Here is a 25,652-nt window from a genome sequence, read left to right as displayed (position 1 = left end):
GAAGTCGTAGAAGTCCTGAACAAGCTGCTCTATGGGGAGGGAAGAAGGATGGAATCAGGACTTCGTCAGTTGCAACAGGAGCCGCTGAAGTAGAAGGAGAGAGAAAGGAAACAGCGGAGGCATGGTAATGGTAGGATGCCAGGGACCAGTCAGCACCAGACCTGAAAGTCCATGAGATAACCTGCTGATTTGACTACCAGCTTCCAGATCCCAAACCAAGAGCAAAACTCCCTAAGACTCCCAAACTCCCTAGGCTGGGCCGTGGATTTTTTTCTTTCTGTGCGGTCTGGTGGTTTAGCTTGGTTCACACGAGAGGCCTACCAACTTGGCTGAGCTTTCTTATTTCTATTTCTATCATTACAATGAATCTCCATAATTTCTGGTGTGAAGGTAACCTAACCTAGAAGGGAAGCACTCTTAGCTTTGTTTGTGCTGTTCAACACACCATCCAGGCGAAGGGGACCCACCCCACCCCTGTCCATCTCTCACTGCCATGCATATCTCCAGATACTGATACCTGCTGGAACTGACCTGGAACTTCTGACCCTAGGCCTTATAGCACTGCCTGCCCGTATGAAATCTTGGTTCTGGAATCTTCCCATCCTCACTGACCTAGTGCCTAGCACAGTGTCTGACACATGCCTGGAGAACAATGACTATATGCACAAATGCAGTCAAATTCATCTCTTTTGGCTTGAGTGGTTGTGGTGGAGAGGAGATAGAAGCCCTGAATGTGAGTTCTGGCTCTGCAACTTCCTCACTACATAACCATGGGCAAGCTACTCAAATCCTTTAAGCCTCCGTTTCCTCCTCTGTGAAATGAGGATGGCGTTATCTACCTGTTAGAGCTATTGTGAGGTTTAAAATAGCAGACATGTGAAAGCCTATATATAACAGGCCCTCTGAAAAACTTTACTGCATCTAAGTATAAGGAAGCTGCATTTTGTTAGGGTTGCACTTTATGAGACCTCAGATGAGTAGAAAACAAACAAACAAACAAATCTCATGATATAAGAGTCCTCTTGGCAAAGGATGGCAGCCATTTATGTTGGCCAGCTGGCAAGAGAAGAAGCAAAGTTTATAGTTTGCTGGGATTGCAGGTCAAAAATCTTGCAATTTTGGACAAATTTTTATTTTTAGATTATTTGGATTCTTTTCTTTTCTTTTCTTTTCTTTTTTTTTTTGAGATGGAGTCTCGCTCTGTCATCCAGGCTGGAGTGCAGTGGCGCAGTCATGGCTCACCGCAAGCTCTTCCTCCCAGGTTCACGCCATTATCCTGCTTCACCCTCCTGAGTAGCTGGGACTACAGGCGCTCACCACCATGCCTGGCTAATTTTTTTTTTTTTTTTGTATTTTTAATAGAGACGGGGTTTCACCGTGTTAGCCAGGATGGTCTTGATCTCCTGACCTCGTGATCCGCCCGCCTCAGCCTCCCAAAATACTGGGATTACAGGCGTGAGCCACCACGCCCAGCTTGGATTATTTTCAAAATTTCAAAAAGATGAATCTTTATTATTACTTTTGTATTAGTCTCCTTTAAATGTACTTAAATCAAATTTGCTTACAATATCCCTGCCCCCAATTCCATGATTTGAGGGAGAAGAAGATGAAAAATGTACTTTGTGATACAAAATGGATGACTCTTTATGGTCCTGCACAGCTGCATGTTCCAGCATCACATTAACCTCTGGATCTTCTCAGCATTCACTCTGGAATTTTTAAAATGTCATAACAGTGTATTTTCAAAATAATATCCTTGTGCACCCCCTCCTCCCCAATCGTGTAATATTGTCAGGATGTTTTATCTGGTGCCATATATCCTGCACATGACAAATCCATTTCCCCAAACAAACCATCGCATATGTCCACACTGTCCATAAATTTTGAATCCTGACATCAACACTATTACCCTCTGACGTTTGGGTTGGCCTGAGTTGTGCAAAATTGAGGGGGTGATGTTTTTAAGGAATGAGGGGATGTCACTCTTTTCTTTCTGATGGGTCCCCTCTGGAGAAAGTGATGTCGGGAACATGCAAAACTTAACCCTACTGGAGAAAGCCCCAGATACTCTCCCCAGGGTATCCAGAGATTAAACCGGCCAGATCTGTAAGCATCTCCACCTCTGGGGGTGATAACAAGGTCACCCTATACTTAGGTTTGGCTTTATAATAATACATCTGGCATCAATAGAGATTCCTTCTTTTCAGAGTGCTTTCCTATTTATGATCTCATTTTGCCCTTGCAGGAGGAAGAAAGGGAGCTGGTTAGGAAGCAAACTTGAGTTTCCCATGCTCTGTGGCTGAGCAAGTCACTTCACCATTCTCAGGTTCAGTTTCTTCATCTGTGAAGTGGTATTATAAGGGCTGTTGACTGCTTAGGGTTGTCTAAGTGCAAATGTTGCTGTGGGTTGGGCAGGAATGCTTTAGGAAATACAAAAAGCCATAGACAGAACTGCACTGTGATGATAAAAGTCATTTAGACACTCTGGAAGCTATAGAGCTGGAAGGAACTTCAGAAATAATAGTAAAGAGGTTTCAGTCTTTTATCTTGTGAAGATGCACAGATGAATCGTGGGCAGGAGCAGGACACATTACTTTGGTGGCTCAGATTTTTGGTCTCTCACTTTAAGAGGCACCTAAACGGCAAGCAAAATGCCATCGCTGGCATTGGCTCCTTCTCCACTCCACTCTCACTCACTCAAGAAAGCATACCAGAATGTTAGTGAGAGAGGTTATTATAAGGGTAACCTTGATTTCACTCTAATTTATTTTTCAAAAATGCAAACTCAGGATTCTCACATGGAACAAAACCCTGACCCAAACCAACTTAAGCAAGAGTTGATATTTATTGACTCGTGAAATTAAAGAATATCCAGCAGTAGAGGCTTTAGTCCTGGCTAGATCCAGGGGATCAAATGGTTTTGTCAGAACTTAGACTATTTATTCATCTCTAGGTTCTACTTTTCTTTCTATCGACACTGTCAGACAGAGTCTTTTCATGAGTGATAAATGGCTGTTGGCAGGCTTCGGTTTGTATCCCCAAAGCTTAGCACCCTCTGTGAAAAGAGAGCTTTCTTCTCCCAATAGTTTCAGTGTTAAGTTCTAGGATTAAGACTCATTGGACTGACTTGGAATCACTGTCCCCTATCCTTGAATCAGCCACTGTTTTCAGGGCAGTGGGATATGCTGACTGCCTAGGACTACATCTTCTCTTTCTTTCTCTCCAGGATGGAAGTGGGGATGGAGGTGGCATCGGCCTCATTTGAACCACATGGACTAAGAGGGGCTATGGGAGTATTCCCCAAAGGAAGACTGAGGGGCGTTACTAGAAAATGGGAGAATGGAAGCAGAGTGGGCAAAACCAACAGATGTTCCCTATAGTAAATAAAAAATTTGGACAATTATTAGTGAGCAAGTACTTATAACATATATGGCACATGGGATTGTGACTCACCAGTGTGTTAGCACAATATGGTCAAAAACCTCTGATCCAATTCAACCTACTCATCTTAACGATTTTATCAGCATTTAATAAGTTTGTTTTGGCCATCATGTGTTATAGTTTTGTTTGTGGTTTTGACACCTCATTAGAGGTTTCATCAGTGTAAGGAGCCAACCTAAGAGCTCTTCTCACAAGTTTCCCAAGAGAGAAATTGCCCCTCCAAATGTGAGGAGTCTCACTTTATATAGATAGCATCCACACTTCTTGCAGTGGAAAACAAACCTTATAAAATGTAATACGTTTGGTTTCCTAACTTTTTCATGACCCTGGGGTGGTAGAAGGAAGTGCAAGTTTTATCACTTGGATTTAGAGACAAGGAAATTGAAATGGAGAGAGAATTGGGCTCACATGCAGGCAGCATGTCTAGCTGCCTCCATCGTGTGATCTGAGGCACCCCATGAGGCCTATGATTACTGTAAACCTCTAAAATAAATAAAAAATAAAACAATCTCTGCCACTGAAGTGCTTCTTAATGAGATGTGTGTAGTTTAATGGGATCAAGGCATTGGATCACTTGAAGGACAATGTATAATTAATGCGTTTTTACAAGTTGGTTCAATTCAAAAAATACTTATTGAGGATCTACTACTAGTTCTATCACTGAGGATGTTTTGGTTACAAGTACAGGAATACCTTGAATATATTGCAGGTTCAGCTCCAGATCACCGCAATAAAGTGAATATTGCAATAAAGCTAGTCACATGAATTTTTTGGTTTCCCAGTGCATACAAAGGTATGTTTACACTATACTATAGTCTGTTAAATCCACAATAGTATGATATATAAAAATGTACATGCCTTAATTAAAAAATATTTTATTGCTAAAAAATACTGACACAGAGACACAAAGTGACTACATGCTGTTGGAAAAATGGTGCCGATAGACCTGCTTGACGCAGAGTTGTCACAAACCTTCAATTTGTGAAAAATTCAATGTCTGCAAAGTGCAATAAAATGAGGTATGCCTGCAATAGCAAACCCCATTTCAACAGTCTTAACATATAAAAGGAATTTATTGACAACCCCAGTGATAAGGTGACCTTCAGGTGAGGGTTGATCCAGAAGTTAACAATGTCATAATACCAAAGATCTAGTTCTTTCTCCTTTTCTTCTGAGGCTCCCAGGTATTTGCCTCATCCTAAGACTGGCTGCCTGATGATCACAGGGTGGCTGCCAGAATGTTCTGAGAATTACATGCTTCCTTATTTATACTCAGGATGAGAAAGCAGCTGTCCAAGGAGTTTGTAAGTGTGAGACAGTTCCTTCCCAGGCAGCATCTCTTCACATCTCCCTAGTTCAAACTGGGCCACGTGCTGCCTATTCCTAAACCCAACTTGGTGGCTAGGAGGAGGGGATGTGCTGAAAACCAAGGATCATGCCTGACACCACCTTCTCTAGTGGCATATGGGCTGTGGGGAGAGGGGTCTTGCCTGAATGAAAACCTAGGTACTGTTAACAGGAGGAAGGGAAATAAATGCAAAACTGCCCCTCATTAGGAGCTGAATCTTTGTCAAAGAGTAGAATAGTAATGAATATTTGTAAATAGAGCAAAGGAAATCAAGTTTCAAGGGAAGAAAGAGAATAATTTTAATTTTGGACATGTCGAGTTTGAAGTATCTGCAGAATATGTGGACAATGCTATTGAGGAGTAAATTGGAAATAAGGACCCAGGACTCAGCTTTGGGCTGGTGCTGTTGATATGGTGGTTAAAGCCACGACAGGAGAGGCCAGCAGGTGCAGGGCAAGCCCCCCCTGGGTGGTGCAGGGAGGGTGAGTGGAGCCCTGACACCGCATGATCTGGGCTTATGAGGGAAAAGGAAGGGGGCCCCACGGAATTGGAAAAGTGAGGAGAACACTGTATTAAGAAGGCGTAGGGAGAGGCCCGGTGCAGTGGCTCACGCCTGTAATCCCAGCACTTTGGGAAGCTCAGGCGGGCGGATCACGAGGTCAGGAGATCGAGACCATCCTGGCTGACACGGTGAAACCCCGTCTCTACTAAAAATACAAAAAATTAGCTGGGCGTGGTGGCATGTGCCTATAGTCCCAGCTGCTTGGGAGGCTGAGGCAGGAGAATTGCTTGAACCCGGGAGGTGGAGGTTGCAGCAAGCCGAGATCGTGCCACTGCACTCCAGCCTGGGCGATAGAGCGAGACTCCGTCTCACACACACACACACACACACACACACACACACACAAAGACAAAGAAGGCGTACGGAGAAAAGCAGTTCATGAAGTGGGGAGGCATTGTCTCAGAGGTAAGATGAGGCCTTAGCTTTTTCTGTTCAGTTTGGCCACAGGTAGGTCCCTGGTGGTCTCTCTGTGGAGGGATGTGGAGTGGTGGAGGAGGAGTCAGTGAGGGGAGGGTGGGAAGTGATGAGGCTGAGGATCTCACCCAGCAAAGCCTGTCTCTGAAGGCCCAGGGGAAAGGAAGAGAGGGCAAAACTCAGAGAAGAGGGAAGACAGTTTTTGTTCCCCCCAAAACAGCTTTGAAGATGTTAAGGACTTTTTGTGCCAGGCCACCTAAACTGATGATGCTCCTCTCCCTGGACAAGGGAGCAGATGTGGACAGAGAAGGTGGGGCCTGGGATCTGCTACAGATGATGTACTACAGTATATAGACCCCAAATACTTTCTTCCTGTTATAGTTAGGATATTTTCCCCTTCCCAAATCTCATGTTGAAATGTAATCCCCAGTGTTGGAGGTGGGGACTGGTGGGAGGTGTTTGGATCATGGGGACGGATCCCTCATGAGTGGCTTGGGCCATCCCCTTGGTGGGATAAGTGAGCTCTGGGTCTGACTTCACATGAGATCTGGTCATTTAAAAGTGTGTGGCATCCCCACACCCCACACCCTGCGCTCTCTCTCTCTTTTGCTTTTGCCATGTGAAGTGCTTGTTCTTGCTTCACCTTTCTCCATGATTGGAAGTTTCCCCAGGCCTCCCCAGGAGCAGATGCCAGCACTATTTCCTGTACAGCGTGCAGAACCATGAGCCAATTAAACCTCTTTTCTGAGGTTTACCCAGTCTGAAGTATTTCTTTATAGCAATTCAAGAATGGCCTAATACACCCCTCCTAGACTGGATAAGGACGATGTCACCTTGGGGTGCCCATCTGTAATGCAATCAGGTATCCAGGTACCTTCCCACTCTTCTCATTCCAGTGGCCGTTTGGGCATCCTGGGCCAGCCCAAGGACATCTTCCAGTGGCCGTTTGGGCATCCTGGGTGGTAGCAGGTATCTCCATTGCACTCTATTTGCCACCTCACCCTGAAGGAAGGTACGAGGGCCCCTTCAAACGCCATACAAAGACCTTCCGGAGTGCCCAGTGTGCAGATTGCCTGGTACAATGTCCAGCCTCCCCAGACCTTCTATCTTCACTTCTATCTTTCTCTTGCAACTTGACCTTCATCTGTTTTGAAATCCCTAATTGACCTGGGTGGGCATGGGCCTTGGGAGGAACTGATGAACATTCTTTTTATTTTCTCACTCACCCCTGCCACAAACATTCTTTAATAGGCTTTAGCCCCTTTATCTCTTCTTTTGTCTTCTTGTCTCAAGGGCCCCACTGCTTCTTTCTTCCTTCCTTCCCTTTCCTTCCTTCCTTCCCTTTCCTTCCTTCCTTCCCTTTCCTTCCTTCCTTCCTTCCTTCCTTCCTTCCTTCCTTCCTTCCTTCTTCCTTTCTCTCTCTCTATTTCTTTCTTCCTCTCTCTCTCTCTCTCTCTCTCTTTCTTTTGACAGAATCTTGCTCTGTTGCCCAGGCTGGAGTGCAGTGGTGCGATCTCAGCTCACTGCAGCCTCCGCCTCCCTGATTCAAGCAATTCTCCTGCCTCAGCCTCCCAAGTAGCTGGAACTACAGGTGCACGTTGCCATTCCTGGCTAATTTTTGTATCTTTAGTAGAGACAGGGTTTCACCATGTTGGTCAGGCTGGTCTTGATCTCCTGACCTCAGATGATCTGCCTGCCTCAGCCTCCCAAAGTGCTGGGATTACAGGCATAATTAAAGGCCTGCCCCTTTCATTTCAATCTGTTCCTGAGTGTCCCTGATGACCCTGTCCCTCATTGCCTGTCCCAATGGGAAATGCCCAAGACTGGAGGGCAGGGCCTAAGGACAAGCTGCAGGGTCGGGGCATGACAAAGGTTTTTCTGCTCAGCTGCTTCTCTTTCCCACTCTGCTGTTCCTTACTACTTCAGAGAGAAAATCCCAAAGAAGGTGTTTCTGCGGCTTGGCAAAGGGAGGAGAGAGTTCATGGGTTCTCAGGAATGCTACAGTTAATGCCTCTAATTAACACCCCAGGTGCTTCTGCTACGGCTGCACTGCTGCTTTGTAATCATTTCTCTGTACTCTGCCTCAGACATGCGCTCTGGAACCGTGAGCCATTTGGGAGGTGCAAGAGGATTCCAGGAAATGGCAGCAAGGCCTTAGAGGAGTTTAAGTATGTACTTGGCCAGGACAAAAGTCTGTCTTCATCTAGGCTCTAGGTGCTGACTTCTGTAACAGGGGAGCTGTTAACTTCTTCCTGGGAATCCACCTTCTACCCCACACCCAGAAGCAGAGCACCATCCACTCAGGCCTCCAAGTGCTCCAGGCCTTGTATTCCACCTCTGCCTACTTTGAGCCAGCAACTGATTTCAGCAGGAATTCACTGAGACTGACATCCTCTATGCTCAGCACTGTGTGCCAATAGTATGGCCACACAAGTAGATTTTTTCCTATTTCTCTTTTCTTAGGCTAATGGTTCAGCTCTAAAGATAAGACTTATGTAAGTAAAATAAGCAGAATATCTATTAACTTCGTATTCAGTTCCTGAAGGAATATAATCAAAGCAATACAGGGAGTCGGTACAAGGTAAAGTCAAAGTCGTGTGTTCAATATGGTAGCCACTAGCCACAAGCACCTATTTAAATGTAAATTAAAGAAAATTAAATGAAATAAAAAATGTAGTTTCTCAGTCATACTAGGCATAGTAGGTGCTCAACAGCCACATGTACCTAGTGGCCACTATACGGGAAAATGCAAAATTAACCTTCTCACTAGAGAAAGTCCTATTGGACAGTATTGGCTTGCAGTAATAGAGGCCAACTTCAGAGTATAGGTGTGGCTCCACCTGGGCCTGGAAGTATAGCAGAATTAGATAGAAGAGGAGGGAAAGGGAAAGGGTCTTCCAGGTGGGACAAACGGTGTTCAGAGATTGGAATGAACCTGGCATACCGGGCCAACACTCAGTGGGAGAGGACTAGCTGGAGTAGAACATTCCTTTTGAGGAACTGAGAAAGGCATCATCACTGATTATAACAGGCACAGAGAATGCAACAGAAGAGCCCAACCTCCTCCTCTCAATTCTCAATTGAAATTGAGATTGATGGGATTCCCGTAATCCCACCTTTCACTTTTACTCCACCCCATCAAGAGGACAGGGTTCTGATTCAACCTTGGGCTTCTGATCTTGGGGGGTGGGAGCTTGGAGTCATAACTAATTATCTGCTCTATTTGAAAACACTGCTGGGACTGGACTGTGTTGGGGACCTGAACCTGCAACCTGTGACCTTACTCCCCACTCGAGCTGGCCTTTGAACCTGCTTTGTCACTGAGAAATGATGAAAAGCTCAGAAGTCAGACCCACTTGAATTCAATTACTGGCACTTCTACTCACCAACCAAGTGCTCATAGGCAAGTAATTTAACTCCTCCAAACCTCAGTTTACCCATCTACAAAATGGGGATGATAATAGCACTGGCCTCATAGAATAGTTATGATGGTTCAATGGGATAACAGTTGCAAGGGGCTTGGCATAGTTCACAGCAAAATGAAATGAATAATCTATTCATTATGTTATTCCCCTATCACACTGAAGCTGTTTGCAGGTGCACTGCTGTTATTGTATCTGCTTCCTTCTGAATTAAAAAATTTTTAAATATAATTGAATCCATTGGTTTTTTCTCTAATGATTTGTGTTCTTTTTGTCTTATATAAAAAATTTTTCCCTACCTCAAGATCTTAAAGATTGTCACCTATATTTTCTTCTAAAAGTGTTTTTAAGTATATTTTTAATTGTAGAATAATATACTTACAAGGTGCACAGATGATAAAAGTATAGCTCCAGGAATTTTCATAAAGTCCACACATCTATGTAAGCAGACCCAGATTAAGAAAGAGCATAATCAGAAGCCAGGGGGTGTCACTCAGGCCTCCTTTAGTCACAAGCTCCCTAGCCAGGGTAAGTATTAATCTGACTTCTAATGTAACAATTTAGTGTTTCCTGTTTTTGAACTTTATAAAGGCCTACAGACGCAGCATATACTCTTAGATGTCTGAGTCCTATTTGTGTGATTCATTCACACTGTGCATACAGCCATAGCTTTTTCATTCCTACAGTTTTACACTTTTCAACTGTATGGATAGACCAGAATTTATTCATCCATTTCACTGTTTTTAGACATTTGAGTAGTTTCCAATTTTTGACTACAATGAACAGTGCTGCAATTGTACGTGCCTTTTGGTGAACATATGTACATATTTCTGTTGGGTGTGCAGGCCCAGGAGAGGATCATTCCTTAGTTGTTACCATAGTCTCCAAATGTCATAGCAGGAGGAAGGCTTGGGGTACATCCAATCTGCCCTGTTTCAGAGAAGGGGAAGACGGCCCAGTGTGGACAGTGATCTGCTGAGGCCCTGCAGCTCACATGTGGCAGAACTGGGTATCCCAAGAGCCAGAACCCTAATTTGTCCTGCTTTTCTTCCAGTTCTGTACCAGTACACCCCTGCTCACCTCCTCTAACTCCACAACCTAGGAGCTCCAATTAAGAAAACTGTAGCCCCTTAGGGCATTTACAATATTGCTTTCCTTTTTCTTTTCCTTTTTTAGAGACATGGCCTCACTCTGCTGCCCAGGCTGGAGTGCAATGGCACAATCACAGCTCACTGCAGCCTCAAACTCCTGGGCTCAAGTGATCCTCCCACTTCAGCCTCCTGAGTAGTTCGGACTACAGGCATGTGCCACCATGCCTGGCTAATTTTAAAAAAAATAGATATGTGGGCTCGCTATGTTGCCCAGGCTGGTCTTGAACTCTTGGCCTCAAGCAGTTCTTTCATGTGGGCTTCCCAAAGCACTGGGATTACAGGTGTGAGCCATCACACCCAGCTTAACACTGCTTTCTCAACTCAGCTTCAATTTTCCCTCATTTTGGTCAAACGTTCCCTAAAAGCCCAGAATATCTCCATGCCTTTTTGTTTCAAGTCTGCTATAACTATTGTCCTCCATGGTCTTCCCTGAACACCTCCTACTGCCCTGCAACATCTCCTTTTCATTTTCAGCATACCTGGTAGCTTCCTTCCCTAGGGCTCTCTAGCATGTCCGGTATGTGGTATGGACCTGTCTGATAATTCCATTACACTTATAATAAAAGCCCCTGCCCTCACCTGGCTCCTTGGCAGCTGGTGATAATGCATGCATGACCCACCAACCATGGCTCCTTCCATTAGCTATCCTGGACCTCCTTGGATTTATAATGTCCAACTGTATTGCTATAATCCTAGGGTGTGGGAGGCAGCATGGAAAGGGGAGAGATGCTGCAAACCTAGCTGTGGAAATGACCTGCCTAGGCTGGGCTGGGTCCCCTCCGCCAGGCACTGCTCCGGGGCACTGGCACATCCCACCCAGGGCAGCTCTTTCTTCTGTTCAGTGACTTTGTCAACTTTGGTGCTGCTGAGGCATCAAGACATTACTGTGAGGGCCCACCCCTTTACGTCCTTTAAATGTTAGGCTTCCAAAGAGGCCTTTCCTGACACTCCTAGAGAGATTACACCCCACTCCACTTCCAGCAACCCAATTTCCCTTCCCTTCCTTTTTATTTCTCTTTAACACTTATCACTGCCTTACATACTATATTTTTATTTTATTGCTTGTCTTTTCCCACTAGAATGTAAGCTCCACATAGGCCAAGATTTTGGTCGATTTTGTTTTTTGCTCTATTGCTGCCACTTAGGTGCCTGGCATATTGGAGCACTAAAAAAAAATTTGCTAAATATGGGAATACATTCAGAAGTTATCTAGAATTGGTGTCTCGGTCCTGCTCACCATCATTTTTAGGTCTTCAAACTCTAAAGCGTTGATCTTACCCTCTTTCTAAGGCTACATGACATGACCTAGATATTTGCCACATAAAAGACCTGCTTGCAAGTGATTTTTATTTGATGAGGGGGGAAATTTCTCCTTTTTTACTGCAACACAAGGTCTGGCATGTGAGTTGCATGGAAGAGGACAATTCAGCTGAATGGTAGGTCAACTTTGGCTAAGCTGGAACAAAACAGCCCCCAAGTTTGACCTCCACTGAGTGTTCTGCTGCCAGGTCGGGGCAGGGCTCAGTCATCGTTGACTCCCTTGTGTGCCACCGAGCATAGTGCCTGGAACATAACAGGTGCTTAATAAATATTGCCCAATCCAGTCTTTCTCATGTACTTCATTCACTGCTCTTCTCAGTCAGTTGAGTTTTGCAAAGAGATGGTTCTTTCTCCAAGTCGGTACATTTAGACTTGAGGAATCTGAGCTCCTTGGAGAAGGAAAAAGTCGAGTATTGTGGGCTGCATGTGCTATGTACACATTCATTGTCGTATTAAATGAAAGTGAGAATCTCACATGAGCTGGGAATTGTGCTAAGCCCTAAGAATGTAGTGTGGGAACAAGACTGGGATAGGCCCTGCCATCACGGAGCTTGCTGTTGTGGGAGGCTGGCACAGATGACACTCATAAGGTCAGGAGGGCAGGGAGGGCTTCCTTATGGAAGACATTTCACCTGATCCCTGAAGAAGAGTAGAAGATATACAGGTGAACAGTAGGTCAACTTTGGCTGAAGCTGGAACAAAACAGCCCCCAAGTTTGACATCCATGGAGTGTTTTGCTGCCAGGTAGAGGCAAGGCTCAGTCATCTTTGTCTCCTTTGTGGTGCCACTGAGGATAGTGCCTGGAACATAATACGTGCTTAATAAATATTGCCCAATCCAGTCTTTCTCATGTACTTCATTCACTGCTTTTGTCAGTCATTTGAGTTTTGGGAAATTGCATAAAGGAATATTTTTCAGCCTTTAAAAAAAGGAGGTCCTGCTATTTGTATCAACATGGATGAACCTACAGGACATTATGCTAAGTAAAATAAGTCAGATACAGATAGAAAAATACTGCATTATCTCTCATTTTATTTGTGGAACCTAGAAAAAAAAGAAAAAGTCAAATACATAGAAACAGAATTAAATGGTGGTTATGGCAGGGGGCAGGAGGATTAAGATTTTTTAGAAAATAGTTGCCAACTTGCTGGCCGGGCGCAGTGGCTCATGCCTGTAATCCCAGCACTTTGGGAGGCCGAGGCGGGTGGATCACGAGGTCAGGAGATTGAGACCATCCTGGCTAACACGGTGAAACCCCGTCTCTACTAAAAATACAAAAAATTAACCAGGCATGGTGGCAGGCGCCTGTAGTCCCAGCTACTCGGGAGGCTGAGGCAGGAGAATGGCATGAACCCGGGAGATGGAGCTTGCAGTGAGCCGACATCGTGCCACTGCACTCCAGCCTGGGTGACAGAGCGAGACTCCGTCTCAAAAAAAAAAAAAAAAAAAGAAAAGAAAATAGTTGCCAACTCATAAAAATAAAGAGATTTCACACCACCCCCTCCCCCAAATCTGTTAGCATTGGACCTGTGGTTCCTGCTTAAATTTTGCATTATTGGGGCAGAGGTATTGGGGCAGAGGTGGTGTGTAGAGGGGCTCATTTTGAGGATGTGCAATATCCTCAGACTGTGGAACAGGATGTGCGACAGTCCCGAGGCACAAAGGAAGGTGAGAAAGAGGCCCAGAGAAGGTGCATGGATGAAGCGGAGGGTTGGGCAGAGCCTTGCCCAGCACAACAGCTTAAGGTTTTTAGCCTTTGAAAGCCTGTTTGCAGTTTTCTTTTATTGCTTATTTAAGGTGTACAACATGATGTTTTGATATACATAGTGAAAATCTCACCTAGTTACCCTTTTTGTGTGTGTGTGTGGCAAGAGCCCCTAAAATATATTATTTTAGCAAATTTCCAGTGTACAATATTATAATTGTATTCCTCATGTTGTACATTAATCTCTAAATGTATTTATCCTACATATCTGAAACTGTGTACCCTTTGCCCTAAATATCCTCATTTCCTGCCCCCTGCCGTAACCATCATTTAATGCTGTTTCTATGTATTTAACTTTTTCTTTTTTTCCAGGTTCCACAAATAAAATGAGAGATAATGCAGTATTTTTCTTTCTGTATCTGGCTTATTTTACTTAGCATAATGTCCTGCAGGTTCATCCATGTTGATACAAATAGCAGAACCTCCTTTTTTTTTTAAGGCTGACTAATATTCCCTTATGCAATTTCTTTATCCATTTATCTGTCAACAGACAGGAGTTGTTTCCATGTCTTGAGGCTATTTGCAGTTAAAGGGCACTGGAAACTGGTGATTGTGGTGTATAACATGAGATTTTTAATCTATTTCTTTTTTCTTCTTTGCTTTACACCCACATGATTCCAATCCCCTCTAACTTCAAAGGAAGGAAGGAAGGAAGACCTAGTTGGTGACGAGGTCATACAATAGCAGCTTTCTGTTTTGCTCTCTTTCCATTTAAGAGTAGCTCCTCCTTTGTTTGAAGCTGCTGGAAGGTCTCTTTGTGCCAAAGAGCTGAGGGAAGCCATGGGAACAGGTTGTTTTCACAGCTGTGCTGAACTCCAACTTAGAGCTGTCCATCCCACTGCTCACACACTCGGGCAACTCTGGCGAAGAGGGAAAGGATGTAAGTCGTGCCCTCCCACATGTGTTCTGAGCTCATTTGTCTCTGAGCCTCACCCAGGGGCCTCTTAAGCTCTGCCTATTAAGGAGTGAGCCAAGGCTGCAGGAAAGGTGACTCTTTAACATAACAGTAAGGCCTACCCCATGGGCAAATCTACTCTGGTGTCTGCAGGTGCGCCTTGCTTTACACAATAAGGGCATTGACAAAACCCTAGACTGATGGGACCACATGCTGGCCAGGGCCACCACCTCATTTTGTGGAGGAGGAAACTGCTTTCCTCGTAAGTTTAGTGAACTAGATGGTCTCCAAAGACTCTTCCAGTTTTGACCATCTATGGTTTTATGAAGATGTATAGATATCAGATTTGTACAATGCACTGTGGGAGCTCTTCAGGAATAATAGAGCCAACATTTATTGTGCTCTGTCTGTGCTCCAGACAGTGCAGAGTACTTTTCTTGTATTCTTTCTTTCAGTCTTCAGAATAGCCTTCAGAGTCAGGTATCCTTTTTCCCACTTTACAGATGAGGCTTAGAGAGAAAAAAGTGAGTTGCTCAAGATCTTACAGCTACTAAGGTGCAGAACAGGCATTCAAGCCTTGATCTATTTGACACCAAGGCTTGTGGTGTTAAATACTAAGGTAAGGTGAAACTCCTTTCAGTGTCTGTGACCCAACTGCGGATTAAGCTTTGGTCACCTCCAAGAACTGAGAGCTTGCAAAGAGCCAAAAGATGTGCAGCATGCTTTTCACAATCAACACATGAATGAGTCCAGGCATACCAGCTGACAGAGGACTTCAGTATGCAGAGTGCTTTGCTCCACAGGATCTGTTGGCCTGGGATCCAACAGGATCTGTTGGCCTGCAGGTTACCATGGTGCACACTACCAGTTAGCAATTGACTAGGAGAGATGATGTGCTGCACAGCAGCTTAAACTAAACGGCAATTTATGGAAACAAGTTAAGGCCCAGCTCTTCACACTTGGGAAAGTGAAGGGCTTCAGTTCACAAGTCTGCATGCTGTTCGTACACGTACCCTTTGGGGAGACATGTGCTCTGACGCAACATGCTTTTTTTTTTTTTTTAAATCTGCAGAGGCCTTGCTGCATCTGCTGCTTATTTTGTGAACTTAGGCCAAAGGCAGGCCCCACAGAGTCCCCACAGCTTCCTGCTCACCCTGCTGCTTCCCTCACAAGCCCTGCAAGCCTGCAAAGATCTGAGTTGCCAACCAGTATCTGTCTGTCTGGTGTCTATCTCTCTCCCTCTCTCTTTAACCGGGACCAGGTGGGGTGGGGGTACTTCTACAGAGAGCAAATGCATAAACACCTCATATATGTCTCAATTATCTGGAATAAGGGTCCCAAATTAAAATACTTTCAGGAACTAGGCAGGTGACATGATAAGAGAGGTCCACTGGATGGGTACTGGGAGGTACTGTTCAACTCTAGCCTGTTGCTTGCAAAATTTAAGCAGGAACCGCAGGTCCAATGCTAACAGATTTTTGGGGGGGCGGGGTGAAATCTCTTCATTTTTTTTTTTTTTTGAAATGGAGTCTCGCTCTGTCGCCCAGGCTGGAGTGCAGTGGCTTGATCTCTGCTCACTGCAATCTCCACTTCCCGGGTTCACGCCATTCTCCCACCTCAGCCTCCCGAGTAGCTGGGACTACAGGCGCCCGCCACCACGCCCGGTTAATTTTTTGTATTTTTAGTAGAGACGGGGTTTCACCGTGTTAGCCAGGATGGTCTCGATCTCCTGACCTCGTGATCCACCCCCCTCGGCCTCCCAAAGTGCTGGGGTTACAAGCTCGAGCCACCGCGCCTGGCCGAAATTTCTTCATTTTTATGAGTTGGCAACTATTTTCTAAAAAATCTTAAAATACCTTGTAGGGTAAGCTAAATACATCTATGGGCTAGAATCAGCCCATGGTACCCGGAATCACCTAATTCTCCACTCTGTTCTATGTATGAATGCAGCCCTTGCTCTTGGAATTATAATTGCCCCAGTGTTTGCTAAGCACAGCTGGCTGAGAGACTATAGGGTGAACTGATCAGAGGAATAGAGGGGAATCAGAAGACCTGGGTTTCAGTCTTATTCTCTAATAAGCAGCTGTGTGGCCTTGCTCACATGACTCTCGGTTTGGTTAGAGCATCTTTATGTATAAAATGAAGGCATTGATGAAGGAATCCTTAGGGCCCCTTCTAGTTCCAAATTTCCACGTCTATGCCTTTAAATGATTGAATTACTTTATTTTGTTTGTATCTAAAATACCTAGGCTAGATACTTAGAGACTTTGGCTTAAGTAGCACTGTGGTAACAATTCTGATTTACAAGAGTGAAGGGACCCTTGAAGTGTGATTTCTCCAACGGAGTCCTTAACAGGAGAGGCTAAAGAAGGGTTCACTCTAAAATTAAATGCCACTCCACTTCCCCAAGGGCAAAAGCAATTAGGAATTTCATTTGAAATCTGGGGACAGTTGATGGAAAAAAGAAAACAAATATATTAATAAAGAGTAATAAGAATAGGCATTGCTGGTGGGAAAGGTGCAGCCACTTTAAAAAAAACCAGTTCATCAGTTATTCAAAATGTTAGGCATAGAGTTACCCTATGACTCAGAAATTCCATCCTAGGTATTTATCCAAGAAAAATGAAATCTACCTACAAAAAAACTTATGCACAAATGTTCTCGCAGCATTATTCATAACAGCCAAGAAGTAGAAACAACCTAAAAGTCCATTTGAATGGATAAGTAAAATGTGGTACATTCATACAGTGGAATATTATTCTGCAAAAAAGGAATGAAATATTGATGAATGCTACATTACAGATGAATCTTGAGAACACTATGATAAGTGAAAGAGGCCAGTCACAGAGCATGATATGTTGTAGGATTTCATTTATCTGAAATGCTTGGAAGAGGCAACTCTATAGAGATAGAAAGCCCATTAGTGGTTGCCTGTGACTGGGGAGGATGGGAGGAAAGAAGAGTGATGCTAAAGGATATGAGATTTCTTTTTGGGGTGATAAAAATGTCCTAAAATTGGCTGGGCACACTGGCTCATGACTGTAATCCCAGCACTTTGGGAGGCCAAGGCAGGAAGATCACCTGAGGTCAGGAGTTTGAGACTAGCCTGGCCAACATGGTGAAAACCTGTCTCTACTAAAAATACAAAAATTAGCCGGGCATGGTGGCAGACGCTTGTAATCCCAGCTACTTGGGAGGCTGAGGCAGGAGAATCGCTTGAACCCGGGAGGCAGAGGTTGCAGTGAGCCGAGATTGCACCACTGCACTCCAGTCTGGGCAATAGAGTGAGACTCTGTCGCAAAACAAACAAACAAACAAAAAAAACAAAACCCTAAAAGTGCCTGTGGAGATGGTTGTAAAACCCTGAATATAATAAAAGACATGAATTGGACACTTTAAAGAGGCAAATTGAATGGTAATGAGAACTAACATCTCAATAAAGCTGTTTAAAAAAGAAAAAGTAAGGGTAAAAAGGTTATTAAATTGAAGGAGTAGATGAATAAAACATTAAACATAGGTTAATGAGAAACTAAGGAAAAGAATATATATGACTAGGTTATATTACTAAGATATCTTTTAGAACTACTCATTGTATTTTGAGAAGGGGCTGCTTTTAGCAGGCAAATTGTGATCAGGGAAAGGGATGATTAACAATAATAAATAGTGATTTTCATTCTTGGATATGGTCCTAGGCACTAATTGTTTTTCTGAGTATTTTTATGCACTGTTTTGCAGCTCAGGCAGCCTGTTACTCTGTTTTTCAGCTCCAATTGTTTGAGTTTGGCAGATTTGAGTTAGTAATGAGGATGCATTATGGCAAGGGACACTCATGACATCAGTACACACAGGGCTGCCAGAATTCTGGGGGCTCTGCCAAGCCCCAATGAGTTGCCCCATGCCTTGCAAAATCCAAATTGCAAAACAAGAAGAGTGAGGACTTGCTAGCTGGTGTTAAGTTTGGGGGATTCTATGTTTAGGTGCGAAAGGTGAAACCATTCTGACAAGAAGTAGTTACCTTAGCTTAATTGCAAGGGCAATTTCAGTGAAGTTGAAATCCAGGCCATGTTTGTCAGATTCTCCAGGAGGAGGAGTCACAAATTTGGACATCAATAGTGGTCTGGCAGGTAAAGTAGAACAGTGTAAGTGGTTAAATGGAGGGCTCTCTGTCCCATTTCATGGGGCCAGTCCCTGCGCTGTTCATGTTCCTTGTTACTGTATAGAAGGAAAGACTAGTATTGCCAAACCAACCTTCCGATTTTTCAAAAGAGACCGAAGACACAGATTTTTATTTTTATTTTTATTTTTTATTTTATTTTATTTTATTTTGAGACGGAGTTTCACTCTTGTGTCCCAGGCTGGAGTGCAATGGCGCGATCTGCACTCACTGCAACCTCCGCCTCCCGGGTTCAAGCGATTCTTCTGCCTTAGCTTTCCTGAGTAGCTGGGATTACAGGCAGGTGCCACCACACCCGGCTAATTTTGTATTTTTAGTAGAGATGGGGTTTCTTCATGTTGTTCAGGCTGGTCTCGAACTCCTGACCTCAGATGATCCGTCCGCCTCATCCTCCTAAAGTGCTGGGATTACAGGCGTGAGCCACCGCGCCCGTCACGGATTTTTAAATAGTGAAATCTTCCTCTTTGAATGTTTCCATCTAATTAGAATTTTAAAAGAAATGGAATAGCCCATAGATTGGGAGAAAGTATTTGCATATTATATAATTGATAAGGGACTTGCATCTAGAATATATAAAGAATGCTTACAACTCAATAATCAAAAAAACCTAATAACCCAATTTAAAATGGGAAAGGGATCTGACTAAACATTTCTCCAACAAAGACATATAGATGGTAAATAAACACATGAAAAGAGGCTCAACATCGTTAGCATCAGGGAAACGGAAATTGAAACCACAATACTACTTGAAATAACACTTCATATCCACTAGGATGGCTGGAATTGAAAAAAAGATAACAAGTATGGATGAGGATGTGAAGTTGCAACCCCCAAACAGTGCTGCTGGGAATGGTGTAGCCACTTTGGAAAACAGTCCAAAAGTCTCCCACAAGGGGTTAAACAAAAAGTGACCATATGACTCCGTATTTTCTCTCCTAGGTATATACTCAAGATAAATGAAAACACATGTCCACACAAAAGCTTGCTCATGAATTGTCATAGAAACATTCTTCACAATATCCAAAAGTGGAAGCAACCCAAATGTCCATCAACTGATGAATGGATAAACAAAGTAATATTCTGTACGATGGAATTTTAATTGGCATATTTGGTAATAAAAAGGAATCAAGTACTGATACATCCTACAACATGGATACATCTTGAAAATGCTATGCTAAATGAAAGAGGTCAGTCACAAAAGACCAGATATTAAATGATACCATTTTTATGAAATGTCCAGAGAGGCAAATCTATAGAGACAGAAAGTACATTAGCAGTTGCCTAGGGTGGAGAGGACGGGGGGAAATGGGGAGTGACTGCCCTAGGGTATGAGTTTCTTTTTGGAGTGATGAAATGTTCTAAAATTGTGGTGATGCTTGCACAATTCTATGAATATAGTAAAAACCATTGAATTGCACACTTTCAATTGGCTCTGTGTATGGCACTGAATTGTATTCCAATAAAGCTGTTATTAAAAAGAGAATGTAGTGCTGAGCATAGTGTAATCCCAGCACTTTGGAAGGCTGAGGTGGGTGGATCACCTGAAATTAGGAGTTTAAAACCAGCCTGGCCAACATGGCGAAATCCCGTCTCTACTAAAAAATACAAAAATTAGCTTGGCGTGGTGGCACACTCCTGTAGTCCCAACTACTCGGGAGGCTGAGGCAGGAGGATCCCTTGAACCTGGGAGGTGGAGGTTGTGGTGAGCTGAGATCATGCCACTGCACTCCAGCCTGGGCGACATAGTGAGACTCTGTCTCTGACTCTGTCAAAAAAAAAAAAAAAGAAAAGAAAAGAAAAGAAAAGAAAAAAATATATACTCAGGGTCAAAGAAAACATATGGGATTTGATTACTACATAGTCAGACTGGAAGGCATTTGTCAAGCCCAACACCTTAAGAAACCAGAGGAAAGGGTGCTCTGCCAGTTCTATAGTCACACATTTATTTAGCGGCAGAAACAGAGTCAGAATTTGTCTCTTGACCTTGACCTCTAGGCTGTGCTGCCCCTCTCCAAAGCCCAGTTTTGAAGACATAGCTTGGAAGGGATTGTGAGAAGTCAACATCATGAACAGCTGGATATACTCTCTTCCCTTTCCCATATTTTGCAAAGGTCCCCCAAAGGCTTCTTGAGGAGGGGATAAATTACGGTAAAAAGGAATACTCCTTAAAGGAAGAGACTGCCATAGAGCTTCCCTGAGTCTTTTCCCTCATAGGGTGGGAGGGTCTGTGTGTTTCAAAGAACACTTACTCTGTATGTTTCTAATTCATTTGCACTTAGCTCATCAATATGTTGTTTGTGCAAGAACCATTTGATGTTCAAGAAACCCTCTGGGCCTCTTAAAGGGCTTTTTAAAAAATTTGAGCCAGAGAATTGAACTTTGCCAAGAGTAAATGGAACTCAGATATCAAAAGGTCTGAGTTCAGTTTTCATTGAATACAAAGGGTGAGTAGATTCTGAATTGAGCCAAATGCATTCTCCCACCCTTAATTTACAGTACATTGTTTTGGCAGACTCTACAATCCTGAAAGTTGGCTTGTCTTCTCCCATTCCTTTCTAGGGTGCAACCTCAAGCCTATCTTTTAGTTAACTTTACAAAAAATAAGGCCATGTTATAATGATTTATGAGAGCTTCACTCATTACTGTTCTTGTAACTATCAATTTTATTAGAACAAACTGAAATGTTTGAAAAGGTTAAAACTCTCCTCTAAAGCTATAATTTTGTTTGATCTCCTACAGGGATTTCTATTTTTTTTAGTCCTCTCATCTGGGAGTTTATCAAGAGATGTTGCTCCTGTTTCAATAAGTGGTCAGGTCATCAACCAATTATCAAATTGAATACTAGAGGGCTACTATTACTTGTAGTGCTTGGATTTGGAGTACAAAACGAGTTCCTTGGCTCTGCCTTCCAAGGAGTAAGGGCCAGAGAAATTATTAGTACTTTGAGTTTCTTGTTAATAAAAAACAATCTCAAAAAAATGGCAAAATTAAAATCAGCCCAAGTTCTGCCACCTCAAGATATGCACTAAGATTTTGTGGATCACTTTCCTTTTATTCTAAAAAAGTACTTACTCTGGGTGTAATGGCTCGTGCCTATAATCCTAACACTTTGGGAGGCTGAGGCGGGAGGATTGCTTGAGCCCAGGAGTTTGAGACCAAGGCTGGGCAACATAGGGAGACCCTATTTCTACCAAAGGAAAAAAAATTAGCTGGGTGTGGTGGTGTGTGCCTATGGTCCCAGCTATTCAGAAGGTTAAGGTGGGAGGATTGCTTGAGCCTGGGAGGTCGAAGCTGCAGTGAGCTGTGATCACACCACTGCACTCCAGCCTGGGTGACAGAACAAGACCCTGTCTCTCCCTCCCAAAAAACTCTGTATCTATATATCCGTATCAGTATACATAGTTATGGATATGTTATAAAAATGGGATATTGGCCAGGCGCAGTGGCTCACGCCTGTAATCCCAGCATTTTGGGAGGCCGAGGTGGGCAGATCACAAGGTCAGGAGATCGAGACCATCCTGGCTAACACGGTGAAACCCCATCTCTACTACAAATACAAAAAATTAGCCAGGTGTGGTGGCGGGAGCCTGTAGTCCCAGCTACTCGGGAGGCTGAGGCAGGAGATTGGTGTGAACCCAGGAGGCGGAGCTTGCAGTGAGCCGAGACTGTGCCACTGCACTCCAGCCTGAGTGACAGAGCGAGACTCTGTCTCAAAAAACAAAAAACAAAAAACAAAAACAAAAAAAGGGATATTATATTGTTTTATAATTTACTTTTTCCCTTTGTTAGTTCGTGATTGTCTACATTAATAAAATGATATCTACTCATGCATAAAATTCAATGGTACAGATGGTTACTTAAGTAAAGTCCAGTGGGACATCTGGTTTAAGGTGTTGCAGGATGCAGCACTCAAATAACGTTTTGAGGTCTGCTTCTCCCCTTTCTATTTGCTCTGTCTTCTGCTGCCTTGGTGCCATTCACATGTTGCACATAGAGGCAGCAGTTCGAGTATATGCATCCAGGATCTTGGCTGGCAGAAGGAAGCAAGACTCTATTCCCATAGCAATATCTGATCCTATCATTGTAGCCTATGCCTGGGTTACATGATACACTCTTGGAATCCAAGTGTTGCACTTGGATAACATACATAGAGAATGGGGAAAGGAGGGAAGTAGGGAGAGGTGGGCCCCAGAGGGAATTGGTAGGATGGTTATCAGAAGGAGAATGAATGAATGTCGGGTGGCCCAAAACACAGGTCCACAATCTATACACGGACATTTGGAACTTGTTTTACATTGGTTTCCTAGGGCTTTCGTAACAAAGCAACACAAACTGCGTGATTTGAAAACAAATTTGTTGTCTCACTGTTCTGGAGGGCTGGAAGTCCAAGATCAAGATACCCACAGGGTTAGTTCACTCCATGGGCTGTGAGGGAGAATCTGTTCCATGGCTCTGTCCTAGCTTTCGGCAGTTTGTTGGCAGTCCTGGTGTTTGTTGGCTTGTAGATGCATCGTCCTGATCTCTGCTTTCGTGTTCACATGGTGTTCTTCCTGTGTGCACAGTGTGATTTCTTTTTCTGTTTTAAATAAAGACACTTCATATTGGATTAGGGATCCTTCCTACTCTAATATGACTGCATTTTAATTAATTACATCTGCACTGATCCTATTGCCAAATAAGATCACATTCGAAAGTACTAGGGGTTAGAGCTTCAACATATGAATTTTTGAGGTCACAATTCAATCCAACATATTTCTACGCATTTAATATTTCTGGCTACATCTAAGACCCACCCGGTCTGGGTGTGAATGCCAAAACCAGCTGTCTCCCTCTTTCTGCTGTGTGGGCTAGGAGACTGGATGAGGCCACCTCTAGGGTCCCTTCCAGATAACTTCGCGATTAAGTGTCAGGGCTAGGAATCCATCCTGCTGTCTGAATGTATGTTACAGTACCACCACTTACTAGCTCAGGGACTTTGGGCAAGGGGCTTAACCTCTGCAAATTTCAGTCTCCTCAACCAGTAAAATGAGGATAAGAGTCCTTCACCCATTGGTTTGTTGTGGGTTAGACACATAGCCTTCAATGAATGTCAGGCAGTGTGACTGTTCCACTTCTTTGAGGATGCAAGGACTGTAGAGCCAGGAGAAGAACCTATATAACTCCTGGTGTTCTCATTCTCTCATGGTAATTCAGTGCTATAACTTCTCCAGAGGTTCTCTTGTTAGAACTTCAAGAGCGAGGCCGGGCACAGTGGGTCATGCCTGTAATCCCAGCACTTTGGAAGGTCGAGGCCAAGGAGTTCAAGACCAGCCTGACCAACATGGTGAAACTCCGTCTCTACTAAATACAAAAAATTAGCCGGGTGTGGTGGCGCATGCCTGTAATCCCACCTACTTAGGAGGCTGAGGCAGGAGAATTGCTTGAAGCCGGGAGGCAGAGGTTGCAGTGAGCTGAGATTGTGCCATTGTACTCCAGCCTGGGCAAAAAGAGCAAAACTCCATCTCAAAAAACAAACAAACAAAAAAACTTCAAGAGGGGAAAGGGTTCCTTTTTTTATCTTGCAAACAGGAACTCAAATCCAGCTCAGGGAATGCAAGGTATTTCTCTCTCTCCCCTGAAGCTGGATGCCGTAAATTCTGAGCCAACTCCTTTTCTTTTAGGCAATGTGATTATTAAATACCTGTCCCCCTTAAGTTTCACTTATCTCTCTCTCTCTTATCTCGTTTTCTCTTATAACTTGATTTTTCCCACCAGCTTTCAGATGTGGGCTGGAACCAGTATTTTATTTACAATCTCTCTGTTTTTGGCTTCATAAATTTGGGGAAATGCAACAGATGTGTGCTGCTTTCCCAGGAAGCACATCTTTAGTTTTTTCATGCTTTAACTACACAGTCTAATTCGGCTTGCCTAAATGCTTATTCAATAACGACTTTGAGTTCTTGCAGGTAGCAGAACCTAGCTGATACAGGTATATTAGGCCTTACACCAAGGTCAAAGCAGGAGGAGGTGCCATTCACCTTTAAAAAAATGTGGTCACTTTCATTTAGTGCCAGGTGTTGTTCTAAGCACCAGGGAAATAACAATGAACAAGAGAGCCACCATCCCTGCTTTTGAGGAGTGCACATTCTGAAACATTCATTTCTGCAGAAAATATATAATGAGAACTTATGACATGTTAGATATTGTTCATCATTAAACAAAACAGAAACAATCTGCACTGATGGTTTTGTTGTGTGCGTGGGTGGTGGCAGGAGAGGGGGAAGAATACAGTACACATAAGTACATTAAAAGAATCCTGTTAAAAGGTGGTAAGTGCTATGGAAAAAATGAAGTAGGGTAAGGCGGATTAGGAATATTGGAATGATTTACAAATTTAAATAGGATGGTCAGGGTAGGTGATACTTGAACGAAGACTTGAAGGAAAATGAGGAAGGGAGCCTCAATATTTGGGGGATGAGCAAGTCCAAAAGCCCTGGGACATGAGTGTACCCTGCTTTTTCAAGGAGAGCCAGGAGGCCATTTCAGCTGAAGAAGAGTGAGGAAGGTGAGAACAGGAGGAAATGTGGCTGGGGGTAGATCAAATGGAGCTTTTATGCTGCGTGAAACGAGAAATTAATGGAAAGTGCTGAGCAAAGAAGTGACCTGGTGTCACGCTTCAAAGGACTGGTCTGGCGGCTTTGTTCAGGCTGGACTGTGCAGGTGCGGGATGGTGAGGGGATATTTGGGGGGCTGCTGTAACCACACGGGTGGGGTGGTACAACCCTCTGATGCACATCAGAGGGTAGGAGGTGGAGGTGGTGTGACACGGCCAGATTAGGGGTCTATTTTGGAGGCAGGGCCAACAAGATTTTGCTGGCAGATTAGATGTGGGGTGTGAAAGAGAAGAGGCAGGGAGGATTCCTAAATTTTGCCTCTTAAGAATAGAGTAGCCATTGATTGAGATGGCAAAGAAGACTGGTGGAGAACGTTTTTGCTTTGCTTCGGTGCATTGGGAGTTCCAGGAGTTCCGTTTGGACGTTAAGTTTGAAGGGGCTATTTACTATCCAAGCGGAGCGGAGAGCTGGATTTTGAAGCTCTCTGGGAACATACTTTTGGGGACATTTCTAAAGCTTGAGACCCTGTTCCAAAGCCTCGAAGACCCTGTCGAGGTTCTTCCGGAG

At 43.8% G+C, this 25,652-nt stretch overlaps 1 long non-coding RNA gene across 1 annotated transcript in view; it reads left to right on the top strand.

The window, feature by feature from the left end:
• ADD3-AS1 (ADD3 antisense RNA 1) overlaps window positions 1–3,963 on the top strand; it is a 62,823-nt gene extending 58,860 nt beyond the window's left edge. Inside the window, exons 4-5 of the long non-coding RNA NR_038943.1 lie at window positions 2,246–2,326; window positions 3,227–3,963. This is a non-coding gene — a long non-coding RNA (ADD3 antisense RNA 1). The remainder of the gene's footprint in view (window positions 1–2,245; window positions 2,327–3,226) is intronic.
• The last annotated feature ends 21,689 nt before the right edge of the window (window positions 3,964–25,652 follow it).

This window comes from Homo sapiens, chromosome 10, assembly GCF_000001405.40.
Source record: "Homo sapiens chromosome 10, GRCh38.p14 Primary Assembly".
Taxonomy (NCBI): domain Eukaryota; kingdom Metazoa; phylum Chordata; class Mammalia; order Primates; family Hominidae; genus Homo; species Homo sapiens.
Note: the sequence above shows the minus strand (reverse complement) of the source record. Positions and strands in the feature narration are given on the sequence as shown.